This window comes from Homo sapiens, chromosome 12 (genome assembly GCF_000001405.40).
Source record: "Homo sapiens chromosome 12, GRCh38.p14 Primary Assembly".
NCBI classification, from domain to species: Eukaryota; Metazoa; Chordata; class Mammalia; order Primates; family Hominidae; genus Homo; species Homo sapiens.
In genome coordinates, this window is record NC_000012.12 from 16,938,796 (window position 1) to 16,959,480 (window position 20,685).

General features: G+C 35.9%; 1 long non-coding RNA gene across 1 annotated transcript in view; it reads right to left on the reverse strand.

Moving 5' to 3' along the window:
• Positions 1-20,685, reverse strand: part of LOC105369677 (uncharacterized) — a 200,713-nt gene that overhangs the window by 150,875 nt on the left and 29,153 nt on the right. Inside the window, exon 3 of the long non-coding RNA XR_931397.3 lies at positions 8,081-8,211. This is a non-coding gene — a long non-coding RNA (uncharacterized LOC105369677). The remainder of the gene's footprint in view (positions 1-8,080; positions 8,212-20,685) is intronic.

Here is a 20,685-nt window from a genome sequence, read left to right on the forward strand (position 1 = left end):
AAAGAAGGCTAAAAATAGGCCCCCAATCTCTTCTGTCTTGAAAAAGTTTCTGCTGAGAAGTTTACTATTAGTCTGATGGGATTACCTTCCTCAGTGATTTGGTCTTTTTCCTTAGGTGCCTTTAGGATTTTTTTCTTTAGCATAGAACTTAGATAATCTGATAACTATATGCCTTGGTGATGCTAATTTTGTATAGTATCTTACAGGTGTTCTCCAAATTTCTTATATCTGAATGTCTACCTCTCTAGCAAGATTAGGGATATTTTCTAAATTATTTCCCCAAATATCTTTTCCACATTTCCTTCTTCTTTCTCAGAAATGCCAGTGAGTTATAAGTTTGATCCATTAGCATAATCTCAAATTTTTCAAAAGCTTTGTTCATTTAAAAAATTATTTGTCTTCATTTTTGTATGATGGGGTTAACTTTAAATTCTGGGCTACAGCCTTTGAAATTCTTTCCTCTGCTTGGTCTAGTCTGTTGTTAAAGCTTTCAACTGTGTTTGAAATTTCTTCAGTGAATTTTTTATTTTTAAAAGTTCTGTTTGGTCTATTTTTTAATATAGCTATCTCATCTTTCATCTCCTGCATTACTCTTCTGATTTCTTTGTGATGATTTTCAACTTTCTCTTGGTTCTCTTTGAGCTCCTTACAATCCATATTTTCAATTCTTTATGTGTCATTTCAAAGTTTTCATTTTGGTTATCATCCATTAATAGAGAACTAGTGTGGTTGTTTGTGCGTGTCACAACATTTTGTTTCTTCATGGTGCTGGAATTCTTGTGCTGGTCTCTTCTCACCTGTAGAAACCGTTACTTCTTATTTTTTAATTTATTTTTGTTTGAGTGGGATTCACTTCCCCAACCCTTGAGGATGTAACTATTGTGTATGCTGCAAAGGGTCTTTTGGCTTTGCTTCTAGGAATTCCTACAGACCCTTATCCTCCAGAAGGGTCTGTTGGAATTCCTTGGTTGTAGAGAGCTATAGTGTAGTGGCTTTCTTAAATGTTAATTGTTTGTGGCTGTAGTAGTGATGGGGTGCACTTGTGGTCAGGCTCACTGTCTTTTACAGGAAAAAGGTAGTGGAGGTCTCTGGAGGCTTGTGTCCTTTCCCAGCGTTTTCTCTGTCAGCAAAAATTATATTTGGTTGTGCAGTACATGCTACTGGACAGTAGGTGGCAATTGTGGGTGAGAGCTGGCTGAGTGCTGTACAAATACGTCAGAAGTTGTGACAGACTCTGCAGGTTAACGTCTCAGCCACAAGGTGGTGCTTGCAGGCAAGAGGCAATTGCAATATTGGCATTGGAATATTTACTTGGCCTTTGTTGATTACCGGAAGTACCTGGGTGTTCCTGGCAATGGGTAGGACCTGAGGATCCCAGGGTTACTGTTTCACACTCTGCCACCATGGTGACTGAATCGGGCCAAATTGGGTGGGGCTGGGTTGGACAAGCTCATGACTAGGCTCTCCAAGGCTGGTGAAAGCACTGATCTTGCTGGGAGTTTAGCGGCAGCTTTCAGGTGACTGGAACAACCCTCCTAGGAGAGGCAAAGTTGCTATTCCTTTGCCACATATCTAACTTAGTGGAGGAGTGGCAACCTGGGGATTTTTAACCTAAATGGTGACCACGAAGTGTGATAAGCTCAGTTCCTGTACCCAGGGGTCTCTCTCCAAGCCTCTGGCCCCAGCAACAGGCCCAACCAGCTAGATTTGTCCCAAACTGTCTACACCCAGATCACTAAGCCACTTCAGGCATTCTGGACTATGGGACTCCCTGGGGGAGAAACAAGGACTATCAAGCCACATCGTCCCCAGTCTGATCTCACTAATGGAAGGGCGCCCAGCTCCCATACCACCACACAAACCCATGTCACACTATTCTCTGTGTCCTAACAGTGGGAACTCCTTCTTTGCTGAAGATTAGGCCATAAATCTCATCTCTATACCCCTGGATGGTGTGCTCCAGTCCTAAGGAACTGGGACTGGGCCAGCGATTTTGTCCTCTTGTCCATTGGGGTCAAGCACCAGCTTTGATAGGGGGAAGCTGCTCCCAGGCCACTCAGATGGGACAATGAAGGGAATTCGGTGCCCCCACTCCCCTGGGAACAGCCAGGCAGGCAGCCTTGGTAGGGGTTGGCAGGGAAAGGTGTGCCTGGTTCATATGCACCTTGGTCCCATGGCAATGGCTATAGGTCCTTTCTGGGGCATCTGAGCATGCCTGGACCCACTCTTTTCTGGCAAGGAAAACAGCATGAGCTGCAACCACTCATTGCAGGATGTAGGGCCTTGGGGGATGAGTGCCCAGAGTCATCTTTTGTTGCAGCTGCCTCTCACAGCCAAGCCTTCTAGGCTCCACCAAGTTCAAGCAGTACCTCTGTGTGTTCTCCAGGCAGCTCCTCTTGCCAGTCCAGAGGTCTGCAGGGTTCATGGGAACTCCTGTAGCTATGATCTCAGAGGTCCACGGTGGAAATGTAGTTCCCTGGATTTCTTCATTTATCTGTACCCTGGGTCCAGTCCTGGTCTGGGGGCCAGTCTGGCACCTGAAGACTCCAAACAGGCTGCCCTTCTTCCTCCCTTTTCAACCACAATTTCTTTTTTTTTTTTTTAAATACTTTAAGTTCTAGGGTACATGTGCACAACTTGCAGTTTTGTTACATATGTATACATGTGCCATGTTGGTGTGCTGCACCCATTAACTCGTCATTTACATTAGGTATATCTCCAGTGTCTTTCATTACCTATCAGATTTCAATGCTTTTGCTCAAAAGATCTGTTCAAAGTGTGAGGTATACTTGATATTTTGGTTGCTCTCTCTGGAAGAGATGTATTGTGGCTACGTCTAGTCAGTCATTTCAATCAAGATATTTTACGAGCCCTATTAGTGCAGCCAGCAGCGCGTCAGTCTCATAATCTGAATCAAGATATTTTATTTCCTTCTTATAGTTTTACTTTTTTCTTCTTTTCTCTTATTTTTCTGATGAGGATTTCCACTAAAATATTTTCTAGAAGTGGGAATAATGGATATTATTGTGCTGTATTTAAGATCTTAGGGAAAAATAATTAGTTATTCACCTGTACATGTGATGAAAGTTATAGAGTTGTGCTTTATGTAGTTGGATAAGAAATGTTTTCTTTTTCAAAAATATGTGTGTTGAATTTTGATAATTGCCATTTACAAATCTATTCTGAATCTATTGTGATGCTTATATATTTTTATATTTTAGTCTCTTACTAGAGTGAATTACAATGATTGATTTATGAATGTTAAACCACCTTGTATTCCCAGGACAAATTCAACCTGGTTATGATGTGTTACCTTTTTATGTGGCTAACTTCAATAAGCTAAATTTGAGATATTATTTTTGAATCCATGTTTAGAGATATTTGTAATTTATTTGTAATTTTGTTGCAATAACCATTCTAAGCATCTTATTAATACTCCATCATACAAGGAGTAGAGATGTGTACCCTCTTGTTTTATTTTCCAGAAGAGCTTGTCTAGACTTGTATTTTTTTAAGTGTTTGCTAGAATTTACCACTACAATCTTATGGGCTTAGAGTTTCTTTGTGAAAAGTTTTGCTGCAAATGTAATTACTTTTAAATATAGGAATATTTAGTTTTTTTTGTTGCTCTTTAATGAGTGAGCTTTGGTGGTTTGCTTGATTTGAGTAAATCGCTCATAATATTCTCTCACCATTTAAATATTGTGGGTTCTGCACTGTTGTTTTATTTTAAAATTCTGATTGGTCATCTGTGTCTTCCCTTTATTTCTTCTCAACAGTTTAGCTGTTTCTTCATGGTAGATATTGATGGTTTGTGCAGAAAGTACTCCTGATAAGTGTGGACATTCTGGCATCAGCAAGTTTGAACAGCATGTATATGGAGGGGGCCATCCTACTTGATATTTAGCAATTTTATTGAACTTTAAAAAGAGCAATTTTGAGCTTCCTGGGCTTATTTTTCTGTTTTCTATTTGATTTATTCTCACTGTTTTAATTGTTTTTTTATTTAATTATTCTTTTTCTCTAGTCTTTTTTTTTTTTTTTTTTAATTGAGATGGAGTCTTGCTCTGTCACCCAGGCTGGAGTGCAGTAGCACAATCTCAGCTCATTACAACTTCTGCCTCCCGGGTTCAAGCAATTCTCTGCCTCAGCCTGCTGAGTAGCTGGGATTACAGGTACCCGCCACCACACCTTGCTAATTTTTGTATTTTTAGTAGAAATGGGGTTTCACCATCTTGGCCAGGCTGATCTTGAACTCTTGACCTTGTGATCCACCTGCCTCCGCCTCCCAAAGTGTTGGGATTACAGGCGTGAGCCACCGCACCCAGCCTTTTTCTCTAGTCTTTAAAAGTCAAATCATACACCAATAATTTGAGAACTTTCTTGCTTTGTCTGCTATAAAGTACCCTTTCGAACTGCTCTACCTTCATCTCACAATAATTAGTATGTTATGCACTCATTTATATTCAATTGTATTGTCTCATTTCCCTTGTGGTTTTGTTATTGACCTGTGGATTATTTAGAAATACATTGTTTAATTTCTAAATATTTGATTTTCAGACATTGTTTGCTATTGATTCTAGTTTAATTTTACTGGGGTCAGCTAATATATTTTGCATAGTTTTTTTTTTTCTTTTAAATTTGTGGGTACTTTTATTGCTTAGACTAGGTGTATGTTGCATTTGCACTTGAATGTAATCCATACCTGCTGCTAATTGCTGTAGTGTTCCATAAATATCAATTTATTTGGTCAAGAATATTGTGTTATTGGATTCTATTGTACCTTACTGATTTTCTAATTGCTCTTTGAATTGCTCAGAAAGTAGTATTGAAACTTGAATTTTAAAAATTAGCGTTATTGAAGTATAACTGACAAATTGTATGGTTTTAAGGGGAATATGATAATTTAATATATGCATATATTTTGTGAAATGATTACCACTATGAAGTTAGTTAAAATATGTCACCTCACCTAGTACCCTTTTTGTTTTGTTTTAGATTGAGAACATTTAAGCAAATTTTAACTATGCAATTTAATAGAACATTTGATTTTTTACTGGATGAGTACGATGTGTATTTTATATTGCAGGGTGATAGATTTTGTTGTATTCCTTTAAACACTTTTTGATTTGGTCGTGGAATGAGAAATCTAATACATTCTTTAGAGCCTTGCCCTTAAGGTTTTTTATGACAAATGCAGAGCACCCTTTAATCTAGGACTATTTTAGCCCCACTGCTTATGCATTACGTTTTAAAAATCTCTACTCCTGCTGCTTGTATTATAGGTCTTTTCTCTCTGGCTGGTGAGCAAACAAATATATAGGCTTCTGTGAACTATAATAATTGTTCAGCCCCCCTTTCCCAGTAGTTTTCTTTTGCAACTTTAGGTAAATTCATGATTTTTCTAATAAATGTCCAGGGAAGGATTAAACTGAAGCTTTCTGGACATTCTCTCTTTCTCTCTCTCTCTCTCTCAGTACATATTCTTCATTATTGTTACAAATTACAGCCACTTTGCTCTTCCCAAATTCCATTTTATCTCAACAACACAAAGGGTCCTGGGCTGTTTGGAATCTCCTTTCCCACCCCTTAGATTGGAAATTGCTTTCAGGCAATACACTGGCACAATAAGAAGGCTCAACTCATTTGTTTTTCTTCTCTCAATCTCATTCTCTTTATTTCCAGCGTTTGAAAATTATCATTTGATATATTTTATTTTATTTTCTAGGTGTTGAAGATGGGAAAATAAATTCAGTCTGTTACTCTACCATATTTAGAAGCTGAAGCCACAAATAATTTTGAACGTTTTTTTTGTAATTATATTTTTCAGGTTTATTTTTCCTGTACATTATTCACAATAATAAGAATAAATGACTGTAATATTTATATTTGATGCAACATTCTTAGGTTATATTAGCACTGCCAGATTTATCTAGGGAGAGCAACACTTATGCAAATAAGTACAAATAACTTGATTTTGCAACTTACGGTCACAAGTTATTTGGATTGTCTTGTGCAGTACATTTTCTAATGATTTAAAAACCTAATTTATGTAATCAATAAATTGTGAAGAGTCTCTTAAAGCTGTAGTTTGATACTTTAAAAGTTCTCTGGTCAGTAAACATTCTCGCCCTGATTTTAAAAAGTATTAGCGTAGATATAGGGATCATCACATTAGAATTTTTAAATTATGAAATATGTAATGTTATAGGAAATAATATATTTAGCATTCAATAGTAATTCGTTTTTTCACAAAATTGTCTCTTATAAACAGATGTATTTTTATTCACATTCATTCACTTACATATTCATTTTTCCAACTACTATTTTTGTATATAGTCCTAGAGAAAAATGTAAGAAAATATAATATCAATTTAAATTATATCACATCTTTTTTTTCACTTTAAATTGGTTAGTGTCTTAAATGATCATTGTGGCCTCCATAATTTGAAAATAGTGAAAAGAATGTAAAGGTCTATTTCTCCCACTTCTATCTACATGGATAAATCTGATTTCTGCCTTCATCGGCTTCAGAGAATGTTGAAAAATTTGGGGGTGATATGGCCTTCCAGTTACCTTAATTTCCTTAAACTTCCTTATTTCTAACCATGAATTTGTAGTGGTCAGAAGTAGTGTCGAGACTGAGTTATGGTAGTAGAAATGTCAACAAGCACTGTCTATGTTACAGACTCAATGGGCTGCTTGCTCCTTTATGGTAGATACTGATGGTTTGTGCAGAGAGTACTCCTGATAAGTGTGGACATTCTGACACCAGCAGGTTTGAACAGCACATATATGGAGGGGGCCATCTCAATTGAATTCTTTAACCACTGTTTCCTAATCCAAGGACATAGGATGTAGAAATTAATGAGCTACTTGCCTGTTGTTAGTATTTCATATCTCCTAGTGGTTCTCCAAAGTTGTTTCTTCCATCTATAAGAGGATCTTTGCTCAGCAAACAGTGCTGCCTCTGTCCTTAGAACCATCTTTTCTAGTCTCTGTCATTCTCTCTGACCAGGACTCTTTAATTTTCCTCCCCTACTCTTTGTAAAACGATGGAGTAATCTCTTGATCTGGGTTACATCTGGGATTTTGCCGTATTTCTAAACCCTATTATATATAATTTTGTCCACCTGAGGCTTAGTTCAGCAACAGGATAATATACATTTTCATCCAGTGTATGGTAAATATATGTGCTTATTATCCACATAATTGTGTCTTTGCTTGAGTGATAATTTCCTGTTAGAATTCAGATAAGACACATATGGAATTTCTACCTAAAACCCTGACTTAACGACTATGAAATCTATACATGTAACAAAATTGCACATGTATCCTATAAATTTGTACAAACAAAAAAGTAAAAAAAAAGAACATACAGAATTTTAGTTTTTTAAGTACAATTTTTGTGCTGCTATTACTTAACAGTACCCAAAATTTGAATCAATAATTTAATACATTTGCTGTGTGCCTACTATATGTCAGGGATTATGCTAACTGCTGGTAATATAATAGTGAAGAAACTACACACAATTAGGCATATAGAAAAGGTTCACTTAATAGATGTTGAATGGAAAAAATAAATAAATGAATAACTCAGTGCAGACTTTAGAATATTTGATAATGGTATTTGTGGAATAAAACAAGTTTCTGTTCTGCTCCAAATAAGCACACTTAAATAATCATACTTAGAAGAAAAACCATACAGAATATCTAAATTTGAAAATAGTGTCTCTCTAAGGAGCCTCTATGGTTTAGCTGATGTGCAGTATTTGTGAAAGTCAGAATAATTTTTCCATGTAAATCAATATACAGTTGACAAAATTTCCAAAGTAAAAAAGTGTAATATTAAACCTTTAAACAAAAGTTAAATTGGGCATAAAAAAAGATTATTTGCCTGGGCTTAGTAGGATCAATGATGTGGTTGAAGAAGTACCTTGCTGTACCTCTAGTTAAGTGCAGGGCTGTAAAGGTCCCTGGAACAAAATTGATGTATCTGAGATGTTATCCAGGATGTACTCTCATGCTATTTTTGCAAGCTGCTTTCATCATACTCAGAAGGATTTGTCAAGATGCTTACCTGTTGTGAAATTCAGCATGATTTCTTGAGGGTGCAATCTAAAGCTGAGTTATGTCATCTCTTCTTAGCACTGCTATATCAGTGCCTATGAGATTGTAATTCTTCCTGGGCTACTCTTTATTCAGTGGTTGCTGTACAAAATGGGGGACAAAATAAATGTATGTCATGCTCTAAGACTACTGTATGTCATATGTATTTACCAAGAGTTAAAAAAAGAAAATGTACAGCATGTCTCTTTACATATAAGTCCTAAATGCAATTTTCATTTTTGGCTGGTTTAAATTAAGGCAAATAAATTCACTCCTATTATGTTTTATACATACTTGCTGATTTAGCTTAAGGAATTGAAATTCATGAAGTTAATGCCTTCTTATTAACATTAAACATTTTAAAATGGAAAAATCATCTCTTTTCCACAATAAATCATTTACAAATCACCTGTGTACTCTTCTTTTCTAGCATTCTTTTATATGTATGCTTTTGGCATAAAAATACATGCCAGGGAATAAATATTACAAAAAAAACTCAGATGTAGTTAAGTCTTAACTATATACAAATTATTAGTCAGGAAAAGAGGGATTGCATTTAAAAAAGAATCTAGCCATCACAGAGGTGCTGAAATTTTGCCTATATTTTCATTTTGTGGAATAGCCACATCTTAATCAGCAAACCAACTGCAAAACTCTTATTCTAGGTTTATATAGGATTAGACTATAAGTGACTCTCCTAAATATTTGAGAATTTTGATTGCCTGTTTTCAAGGAAGTTTTGAGTTTCCAAAAGTAATTTTCCTTGAAGAAAGTAGATTTTATATCTAAGAAAGTGATGAGAAAGCTGTGACATGCGAGCATTTACAAATAGTCAGTGCATAAAATTTGATATCATAACTATGTGCATGTCAATTTTATTGATAAAATGTAAAGCATTTTGTTTTTCACATGTAAGCAAATACTGACTAGCATTAACACATTGATATATGATTTTCAGAGTAAAGTGTTCACATTTCTAGGTGGTAATTAGGCTAGTATTTTTAAAAAAATAAAGAGTTAGGTAATATAAAACATGTTAAATACATTATCCCCATCCCCACTCTCCTTTCTCTCAAGTGTATTTTGCTGCTTTCATTCTCTTTATTCTTTCATTTTGCATCCCTACTGGCTCTCTTTACGTTTTTCTTCCCTTATCTCCCCCACTCTTTCCCTCTGCATTGAAGTATACTACTTTGAAACATAGCTTGTTCTTATCTTATATTTTATCTTTTCTTTCTCACAGCCCTTTTCTATTGCATTTTGACTAAGTTTCATGGGAATCTTTATTTGTTGCCGAACTCTAAATATACCTGTTTATGGTATCCAGTCTCTCCGTATAAGCATATACAGAGAAGATATCAACACCCAGTCCAGGAGTGCAGAGTGGGATTGGTAAAAGTAAAGATAGTGGTCAGTAGTTTTGTGAGCTAGCAGATACAAGCTTTGTTCACAAGGAGTTTTCTTCATATGGGATAAATTTATTGCAATGGTTTTCTCCTGTCTGTTGCAATCTATTTAAAACACCCACCTCAATGTGGGATGACTGTCTATTCCATTGCTTTCTTTTTCTTAAGCATGGCTACATACTTTTTTATTCATCTGTGCCTGAGGTCAATGACCCAGATATTCTTCTTCTTGCTTCTGGCTATGTGTACTTTTTCATGTATACTGTTACCAATTTTATTCTCTTATTGTTTTCCCTCTCCATTGTGACATTAGCATTTTATAAGAATGACTATATTAATCATACCACTAAAAATTTAATATCTTATACTGTGGCCCAAATATACTAATTTAGCCTCTATGTTCACTCCTGACTTCCATATCAGGCACCAACATTATGATCTAAAAGTGGAATAGAAAATGTGAAAGTACAAAACTATTAACTTTTTGATACCAACCATCTCATTATTTATTGCCATTTATTTTGCAATAATTACTTAAGAAAAAAATATCTATTATTGCTCCATACTGCTTTAACTGCAGTTGCGGATTTAAAGATGAATTCAGACTTCAGCCTTTCCCTGAGGCTGATGGACTTCTCCTTTCAAAGTAGGACACTTCTATCTGATGGCATTAGCCATAAAATCCCCCATTTCAAGTCTATGATATCCTGAAGGACAACGGCTCATTTCATTTCTTATCAAGAAATCGGGCAGATCAGTCATATTTCCCGAATCAAATGACATTTCAGAAAATTCACTTGAACCAAAAATGAGGTTTCATTTCTGCAGACTCCAATTAGTTTAAAAGTGGTTTCTGATGAAAATTTTCAAAATAACTGAGCAGTTCATGAAAAACAACTTTATATTTTTATGTATTTGACTATATCAACTCATATTTCATATATACATGCCCCTATACATGCACTTACATACACACACACACACACACACACACACACACACACAGGCTTCCAAATAGCTACAGCTAGCCACCCTGTCATGTGGTGTAAATCTTTAATTTTAGTGATCAGCGTTAATAGTAAAGTACTTAAGATCTTTCCTCCTTTCTTTTTTTTTTTTTTTAATCCTGTTACCCTAGGTATTCCAGTGGGAGTGTGCCCGCTCGTTTGCTCCCTAAGTACACAAAATTAGCTGCTTATCAGTTGATCTTCCTACATGATCCTTTAAAAACCCTTTGTGTGTGTATACAGGCATCTATGCAGCATCCAAGGCTGCTTCTGCCTTCAGAGGAAGCCTAGACAAGCTACCCCCAGCCTTTTCTTACCCACTCACATGGGGCTCAGGCCTAATTAAATTGCTCTCAAAGACAAGAAGGGATGAATTTTCTTGTTTCCATCTCCCTTGTCACCCATTTAACTCAGCTGACATTCACTGACTCCTTTTTACTTATGTTCAAAAAAAAAAAAGAAAGAAAAAAAACCCATATGCACACACACAAAAGCCCCATAAAGACAGGGTTTAGAGAGCTGGGAGAAGTAGGGAGGGACAGTGTTCGTGGATAAACTCTTAATCTGGTTAATCCATGATTTATAATTTCAGAAACAAACAACAGAAACAAGATAGAGAGAAAGTGCCAGAGGAGAGGCTGGATTTCTCTTGCTGGCTTTGATTTTATTCCATTAAACTAACACTGAAGAAGACCGAAACAAACACACATACACACACAAACACATACGTCAGTGCTTGTGGTCAATCTGTACCCCTCTGTTGTTTTTGGTTGTTGTTGTATTTTTCTTGGGCTCAGATTAATGAGGGAGGTTTTGTAAACTAGGATGAGCAGAGCCTATTAATGTAGCTCTGCCCAAGAGGGGCAGAGGGGAGCCGCAGCCACTTTGGCTGGCCTGCTATTGATTGGACTGGAGGTCACGGGGGAGTACTGCTGCATTTCTGAAGCTGGGGTTCAGGGAGGGGGCTGGAGAGCTTTGGCTAAACCAGACAACAGGAGCCCTGTGCAAGTCTAGCTCCAATAAGGGCCTAGGAAAAGCCAGGCAATTAGCCTTTGAAGGTCATGGTAAGTTCCCTCCTCCCTTCTCTCTTTTCACCACAGTATCCAGCCTTCCTTCCCTCCTCCTCCTTTCTTCATCACCCACACTCCAAACACATCTGAGGAATCCATTCAATTAAATCCCTCTCGGCTCCAGCTGGCTCTGGAGTGAAAGGTCAGTAGAGTCCAGGAGGGAGGAAAAGACACCAGGAGGAGCTAGAGCTTGTGGCTGCCTCCGACCCTGCCTTTCCTGTCTCCCTTCTCCCATCTCCCCACTCTCCTCTCCCCACCTCCTTTCTGCCTACCATCTTTAATGATACCTGATGGTCAATCACTCCCCAGCAGTGAGAGACATGCCCTGAAGCATCATTGCAGTAGGGAGAGACCCATCAGGTTTTTGTTTTTTTTTAAAAAAAAAAAAACGATGATAATGATAACCCGTGGACATAATGTTAGTTTGTTTGCTGTGCTGCTTGGAGGCCTATCACTGTTTCCCTGGGCCAGCCCAGCTGCTTGGAGGGTCTATGCAGTCCTTGGTATTCACCCTTCCCCCAGTTTGCATTTTGTCTTGCCTTAAAGAGACCTAATTAGACTGAGGGATAGTTTGCTGGCCTGCTTGGCTCCATAAATAGAAGAGAAAAAGTAAAGATTTCTGATCCTATTTTTGAAAGCATATGCTTCAAGTTCACCAAGAAACAGCATACTTAACTATCTGTGCTAACATAAGAAAATACGTTAAATTTTGTTTGAAGGATTCAGCTAGGGATGTCTACATTGTTTAAAAAATCATGTTATAACTATGTGGTTTCAATGATAAACACTAACAAAATAATTTAGGGATAGAATTTATTAGATGAAAGTTCAGAATCAGAAACTTTGCAGAAATTTTAGATACATGTATGCATACATATGTTTTCATACACATGTGAAGGTATATTTTTCTTATTTTTTTTTTTAGGAAGGCAGTGACCTTAGATTGGTTATTTCCTCTCCTTATGCACCAAATTTTTCCTTAAAATCATGTGGAAATTAATATGAACACAAAATTTCGCAAAATGATATCATAACCACCAATGTGAACAAGGTATAGTCTTCTCTTCACATGACCTAGAATATGTCACATTAAACATTTTGCCATTAATACTTTATGTTTCCATTGTACTTTTTCAAAAAACTTGATGATTTCACTGTGTTCCCACACTTCTAGTCTATATTGTAATCTATATTCTCAATATATAATATATCATCTATATTCTCAAGGCCCAGTATTTTCTTTTCTTAGCAAGTGTGGGGATACAGATTCTAGTACAACTAATATCTTACTTGCAATCAGATTTTTTTGTTGTTACATTATTTTCTGCATCATTTGATGAACCAAACTACATTTTCCTATTCCTATTAAACTATTTGATGATGCTTTTTATTTTGTTGTATAATTGGGTGAGCAATCATGTGATAAACATAAGTTTGGTATGAAATCAAAGAAGCAATGCTAAAAACAATGAATATATTTTCAGGAAAGTTTTAAAGATGTTAAATCTTTTAGAAAAAAAGATGGTAGAAACAGTATTACTTCTTTGTGGTTTTTATGAACACAATGATAAAACTCTAAAAGACATCTAGTATAGTTAATGTATGATAGTTTTCTTTTATAACCTAACATTATGCTTTTTGAAATGTGTGTTAGAGGTAGAAGTTTGTGTGTTTGCTAAATTAAAAATGAGTGTGATCTGAATTGAGTTGTTGTTGTTTTTGTTGGGAAAGATTGTGGAAGTAAGACACATGGGAAGAAGTGACATATGTAATATCATACTTTTAAATGCTTCAAATTTAGGATTTTCTTTATAAAATTACACAAGACAATACTTAGTGCCATTTGGTATTTTATAAACCATCTGTCTAGAACTCTTCCATTTATACGTATATAAAATAGAACTCAGCATATCTGATGGCTGTAGATATTTGTGTACATGTGCATACATGCCCCCACCTATACAGAATTATCTGATCCTGACAACAAAGGAATACAATTATTTATTCTAATTGTACCTGTCCAATTTAGGTATCTCTCAGAAAATCCTTCAATAGTTGATAGTTAAAGGAATTCTTAACTTATTAATTGAACAAATATTTATAAGGCACCTATTATATGTCAGATATTATGTCACTTGCTGAGACCACAAAGATGAAAAAGAAAACACACACGTGTCTCCTGCTCTCATAGACTCAGAGTCTAATGAAAAAGAAAGCCATTGCGGCCAGGCGCGGTGTCTCATGCCTGTAATCCCAGCACTTTGGGAGGCCAAAGCGGGCAGATCACGAGGTCAGGAGGTTGAGACCATCCTGACCAACATGGCCGCGTCTCTACTAAAATACAAAAAATTAGCTGGACCTGGTGGTGCGCACCTATAATTCCAGCTACTCGGAAGACTGAGGCAGGGGAATCGGTTGAACCCGGGAGGTGGAGGTTGCAGTGAGCTGAGATGGCGGCACTGCACTCCAGCACGGGCAACAGAGTGAGACTCCATCAAAAAAAAAAAAAAAAAAAAAGGAAAGAAAAGAAAAAAGAAAGCCATTGCACAAATATTTGTGACAGTACTATCAAAAGAGAAATCTGAAGTATTATGGAATCATATAACAGGTCAACTAAATCTAGTGAAAATATCATATTTCTGTATAACCAAGCATTGACTATAGGCCCAGAATTATTCCCAGGTAACTCTAAATTTCAGGCAAAACAGCTTTAGTAGTCCAAGGACAGCTCTCTTAAAAATTGGGGTGTGGGCTATTGGACACAAAAGTACAAAGATCCTGGAAGGGGACACAAAGAAACAAAGCCAGAAACCTAATTTAAAGATCTCAGCAGAGCACTGACAATGTCTGCTACAGAGAGCAAACAGGATTTTTAGGTTTTTTTTTATATGGATTATATAAGTGGGTGGTTATTTATCTTGCTGAATCAGGAAATAAATAGGAAAAAGGGTGTGTTGGGCAAAAATATGTGGGTGAGATAATAATTATGTCTTAGATTAAGTTTGAAGTCTTTGTGTAATACCATTCAAAACATTCAGTAAGCAGTTATATATGTAAGTCTGAATCTCAAAAGAGGAAATCTGAATGAGTAATTATAGCAAGGTTGCAGGATACAAAGTTAATATACAAAAGCCAGTTGCTTTTTGATATACCAAAAATGAACAAGAGGGATTTGAAATTAAAACTACAATACCAGCAAGTTATTTTGTAAATAGCAACAAAATGATTCTAAAGTTTGTATGGAGAAGCAAAACATACAGAATAGCGAACACGATATTGAAAAATTAGGACAAAGTTGGAGGAATGACACTACCAGATTTCGAGATTTACAGTAAAGTCATAGCAGTCAAGGTAGTGTGGTGTTAGTAAAAGAATGGAAAAATAGATAATTGGAACAAAATACAGAGCCCAGAAATAGATCCACATAAATATAATCACCTGACCTTTGACAAAGAAGCAAAGGCAATACAATGGAGAAAAGACAGATTTTTCAACAAATGGTGCTGGAACAACTGGACATCCACATTAAGAAAATGAATATAAACACAGACCTTACCTCCTTCACAAAAATTAACTCAAATTGTATTGCAGACCTAAATACGTAAATAAATAAACCTGTAAAACTCCCAGAAGATCACATAAGAGAAAAACCTGGATGGTCTTGGGTTTGGTGGTGACTTTTTAGATGTGACACCAAAGGTATTAATATAAGCTTATCCAACCTGTGGCCCATGGGCCCCAGGCAGCCCAGGAGGGCTTTGAATGCAGCCCAGCACAAATTCGTAAACTTTTTAAAAACATTGATTTTTTTTGTGTGATTTTTTTTTTTTTTTTGGTCGTCAGCTATTGTTAGTGTATTTTATGTGTGGCCCAGGACAGTTCTTCTTCCCATGTGACCCAGGGAAGCCAAAAGATTGGACATCCTTGCATTAATCCATGATCCCAAAAAATGAGAAGTTGGACTTTATTAAAATTAAAATTTTCTACTCTGTGAAAGACACTGCCAAGATAATAAAGACAAGACACACTCTGACAGAAAATATTTACAAAAGACCTATCTGATTAAGGACTAGTATTCGAAATATAGAAAACATTCTTAAAACTCAACAGTAAGAAAAGAACTCGATTAAAATGTAGGCCAAACACCTTAAAAGATACCTCACCAAAGAAGATGTAAAGATGGCAAATAGGCATATGAAAAGATACTCCAGATCATATGTCATCAGGAAAATGCAAATGAAAACAAAAACAAGATACTACCATATACTTATTAGAATGGCCCAAATCAGAACACTTACAACACCAAATGCTAGTGAGGATGTGCAGAAACAGGTACTTTGATTCACTACTTATAGAAAAACAAAATGGTACAACCAATTTTATGTCCAACAGGACAGTTTGGCAGTTTCTTACAAAAGTAAATGTACTTTTACCGTAACATCCAGCAATGGTGCTCCTTGGTATTTACCTCCAAAAGTTGAAAACTTATGCCCACACAAAAACCTGCACACAATGTTTATAGTGTTATTTATAATTGCCAAAACATAAAAGCAACCTAGATGTTCTTCAGTAAGAGAATGCATAAATAAACTGTGGTACATGCAGACAACGGCATGTTATTCAGTGCTATAAAGAAATGATCTATCAAGGCAGGAAAACACATAAAGGAAACATAAATGCATATTACTAATTTAAAGAGGGCAAACGGTAAAGGCTACACACTACATGATTCCAACTATATGGCAACTTGGGAAAAGCAAATCTATGGAGACAGTAAAAAGATCAGTGAGTGCCAAGTGTTAGTGGGAAGTATGGGAAGGATGGATAGGTTGAGCACAGAGAAATTTTACGGCAGTGGAACTACTCTGTATGATGCTATCGTGGTGAATATATGTCATTACACGTTTGCACAAACCTATAAAATGTACAATATCAAGAGCGAGCCCTGTTGTAAACTCTGGACTCTGGATGATGATATGTCATTGTAGGTTCATGAATTGTAACAAATGTACCACTTTGTTGGAGGCTGTTAATCATTGAGGAGCTATGTATGTTTCAGAGTTGATCTATAAAGATAGTGACTGAAAACTACAGGGTGAATAAGACTGTCTAGGGAGGGTGAGTCATATGAAGAAGTGTTGAGTAATTCCAACATTAAGTGACTAGCTAAGGATAAAATAAATTACAAAAGAGACTGAAAAGGAGCACCAGAGAGTAGGAAAACCACAGGAGACTGGTCCCTGAGAAAGCAGACAGAACCTAAATGATGCAGGACTCCAAATAAAATATGGACTTAAAATTACTTATCGGATTTAGTAACAGTGTATTGTTTTGGGCCATTTTGAGCATAGTTTTAGTGAGGAAGTGCTGATATATACAAGAAAAAAGTAGAGAAGAAAATGTCATAATCAGAGTGAGTTCAGTAGTAAATGAGAGTTAAGAAAATTTAAAAAAAAATGAAGCCCATATTCTGAAATAAATGATACCAAGTTTAAAAATATGTACTTTAAGGACAAATAGTTGCATCATATGGAATAAAATCTATAGGCCCTCTTTAATTAGGAATAACTATGATAGAGTTCCTGAATTCATCCTGATCTAAGCCCAGATATCATCTTTCTTTTGTTATCTCATTTTCATATTACTAAACATAGTTCATGTTTCTGCAGTCCCCATTTTCTGGAATCACCAAAGGTAAGGCTAATTTAACTAGTTCTTCGCTTTTCTGATTATAGTTTTCATCACTTTACCACTAGACTTTCTACCTCTACCTCACTGCGTTGTTAGCATATACTTTTCTCTTGTTCTCATGTTTACCTAAATTCCTAAACACTAATGCACAAATCCAAGCAAGCAGGAACTGAAAATGAAATATGTTCTTTACGATATGTTTCTTTTAAGTACAAACACTCTCCCACATGGTGGAAAAGGGAAGAGGTAGATGGAGAAGGATACTATAGATTTCTGCAGACTCAGATGAGAAAAAATAATCTTCTGGTTAGAGTACAATGTAAAAAAAAAAAAACTTATTTATTCCAAAACCCAAATGCATTTATTGCATTTTGCTGAATTATATCACAAATGTTTTTTCTGAAAAGTAATAGCTTGTGCTCAAGAATGAGATTTGTCTGAAAACCTTGAATCTTTGCTTTTAAACTGTATGATGTCCATTAACGTAAATTGCATTTACAAGCTTACATTAATTTAGTGGTTTGCTAGCCATTTTGTGATTAGCATTTTCAACAAACAGGAAAAGAGACACTGCTTGCAGGTAGGCAGGTAGCAACCCTAGGATATGATGGCTCAATTTCAAACCAGTGTCATGCTTACCAAAAGTAGGGATAGAGAACCATAGTCAGAAGTAATTCCAATAATAAGATAACAAATAGAAATAAAACACAATGTTATTTCATGCAAGACTTTTTTAAACCACTATTTTATATATAGGAAATTATACTATGAGACATTCTTTAGTTATAAAAAAATGACACTTTTAAAATCATCATAATTATGAAGGGCTTTGTACCTTTACTCCCCTAGTACAATATGTAGTTGAGCAGCCCACCCTTTCCTTCCTTCCTTTTTCACTTCCTTCATTTCTTTCTTTCCTTCATTCTTCCTGTTTCTTTTTTTCTTTTTTTTTTTTTTTTTGAGACAGAGTCTAGCTCTGTTGCCAAGGCTGGAGTGCAGTGGCACAATCTCGGTTCACTGCAACCTCCATCTCCGGGGTTCAAGCTCTCCTGCCTCAGCCGTCTGAGTAGTTGGGACTATAGGCACGTGCCACCAGGCCCAGCTAATTTTTGTATTTTTTGAAGAGATGAGGCTTCACTACGTTGACCAGGCTGGTCTCGAACTCCTGACCTCGTGATCTGCCTGCCTCGGCTTCCTAAAGTGCTGGGATTACATACATAAGCCACCATGCCCAGCCTCCTTTTTCTTTATTTATCTGCTTTTATCTTTCCCCACTTCTCTCCTTCTCTCATATCTCCCTCCTTTTTTCTCTTTCCATTTTTCTTCCCCTTTCCTTCCTCTTGCCTGCCTGCCCTCCCTTCCTTCCTTGTTTCCTTTTTTCAACATTATCTTTTTTCATTATTGAAGTCTGCTAATTTCTGAATACCTACTATGGACTGGATGTTTGTATTCCCCCAAATTTTGTAGTTGAAGTCCTCATACCCAGTGTGATTTGGAAGTGAGGTCTTCGGGAGATAAATAGGATTAGATTAGATTATGAGAGTGAAGTCCTTATGATTAGATTAACGCCCTTATCAAAAGAAGAAGAAATCTGAGATCTCTCTCTTTCTATCTACATGCACCAAGGAAAGGCCATGCCCCTGAGTACACAGTAAGAAGATGGCTGGCAAGTCAGAAGGGCCTTCATTAGAACCTAAGTTTTTCTAGCAACTTGATCTTGGACCTCCCAGCCTCTGGAACTGTGAGAAATACATGTCAGTAATTTACCCAGTTATTAATACCCAGTCTATGGTATTAATATTTTATTATAGCAGCACAAGCAGACAAAGACAACATTTTCATAATATTGGTTACTAAATTAAATATGTGACTAGGACAAGTATGAACCACTTCATAGACGGGTAAAGTTTTTTTTTAAAATAGAATATAGAAAATAGCAATGATAAATATAATACAAATATTATAGGGGTAATATTTTTATTATTAGCATGAGAAATTGAGATTGTTAAAATACCATTATAGGCTTAACTTTCAGACTATTGAGTAGATGTCATGTTGATGGCGATCAAAAACTTTATTGACAACTGTCTACTCCTTCAGGTAGAACAGCAAAACGGTCACCCTTTGGTGAAATGTGTTAAATATTTTGGGCCAGTAGATTGCACTGATCATTTTCTCTGTAAGTTTAAACAAGCTATATTCCCCTTTCTACAAATAATATTTGTCACATAGTAATAATACTATATATTAACATGGACATCAATTATTCATCATTTTCTATGTAACAATAATTATTCTGAGAGTTTCCATATATTCTAAAAATAAGCAGACACATCTCACAAACGTTTATGCAAAGGGTTTTTTTTTTTTGAAATTACAAGCATATATAGTACAATTTCTTCTAAGTGGAGAGCGAACATGTTTACAGATTTCTAGTATCTGTAATCATTACATAAGAGAAACTTAAAAGAAAATCAAATTCCCTTGATCAGGTTCAAGGTCTTATTTACTTATTTCAAAAATGTCAGTATAACTCTACTCAGCTTTCACTGTGGTAGGCTCTAAAGCTAATTTAAGCATCAGATGTTTGTATAAAGTGCTCATTTATTTAATATAACAGAGTAAATAGGGTCTTTTGCTTTGGTAGCAGGGACAGATTCACGAACTCTGTTCTTGAATTGATCTCCAAAGCTCCATGTAACCCATGATACCTTGATAGAGCCATGAAAAGTTCAAAAATATTTTATCAATGAGTTTCATAGAATGCTTTTAGGAACGAACACAAAAATCAGCTAAATACTGATGTAGGTTAAGAACTCCAGCCGTGTGTTGGTTGGATAATACATAGCTGCAAAATTATTTCTATCAGGCATATGGAAGTATAATCCTAGGAAAATGGAATAAAATAAAATAAACCTCATTTTTTAGTGTTTTGGCATAAAATATTCCCATGTTTTGTTTAATAGATTGAAAATTTAGCATTTCACGTTTTCTCTTAAAAATTGAATCAATAATTTTTTTCCAAGAAACATTGCCAGTGACCACTATAGCAATAATAAAATAAAGTTTTAGAAACATAGAGTTAATTTCAAATATAACCCAGGAAAGGCAGATTTTACAAACTACAGATTGGACATACTAGACTGGATGTCTAGTATTTGCTGATTTGGCTTCTGTATTCATTTCCACTAGTTCTAAAAATAGAGCAAAATTTTCTTTGGGACGTCATTCATCCTTATTCTTAGCCACACTGTTTGGACACAATTTATTCACCCATTTAAGAATTACTGAGCGATTTACAGGTGCCAGGCAGTGTTATACAATCAGAAGATATAGAAATGAATGGCAGATGAAAAAAAGCCCTATCTCTTTCCCCATGGGTGATAAGAGCTTGCAAGGTAA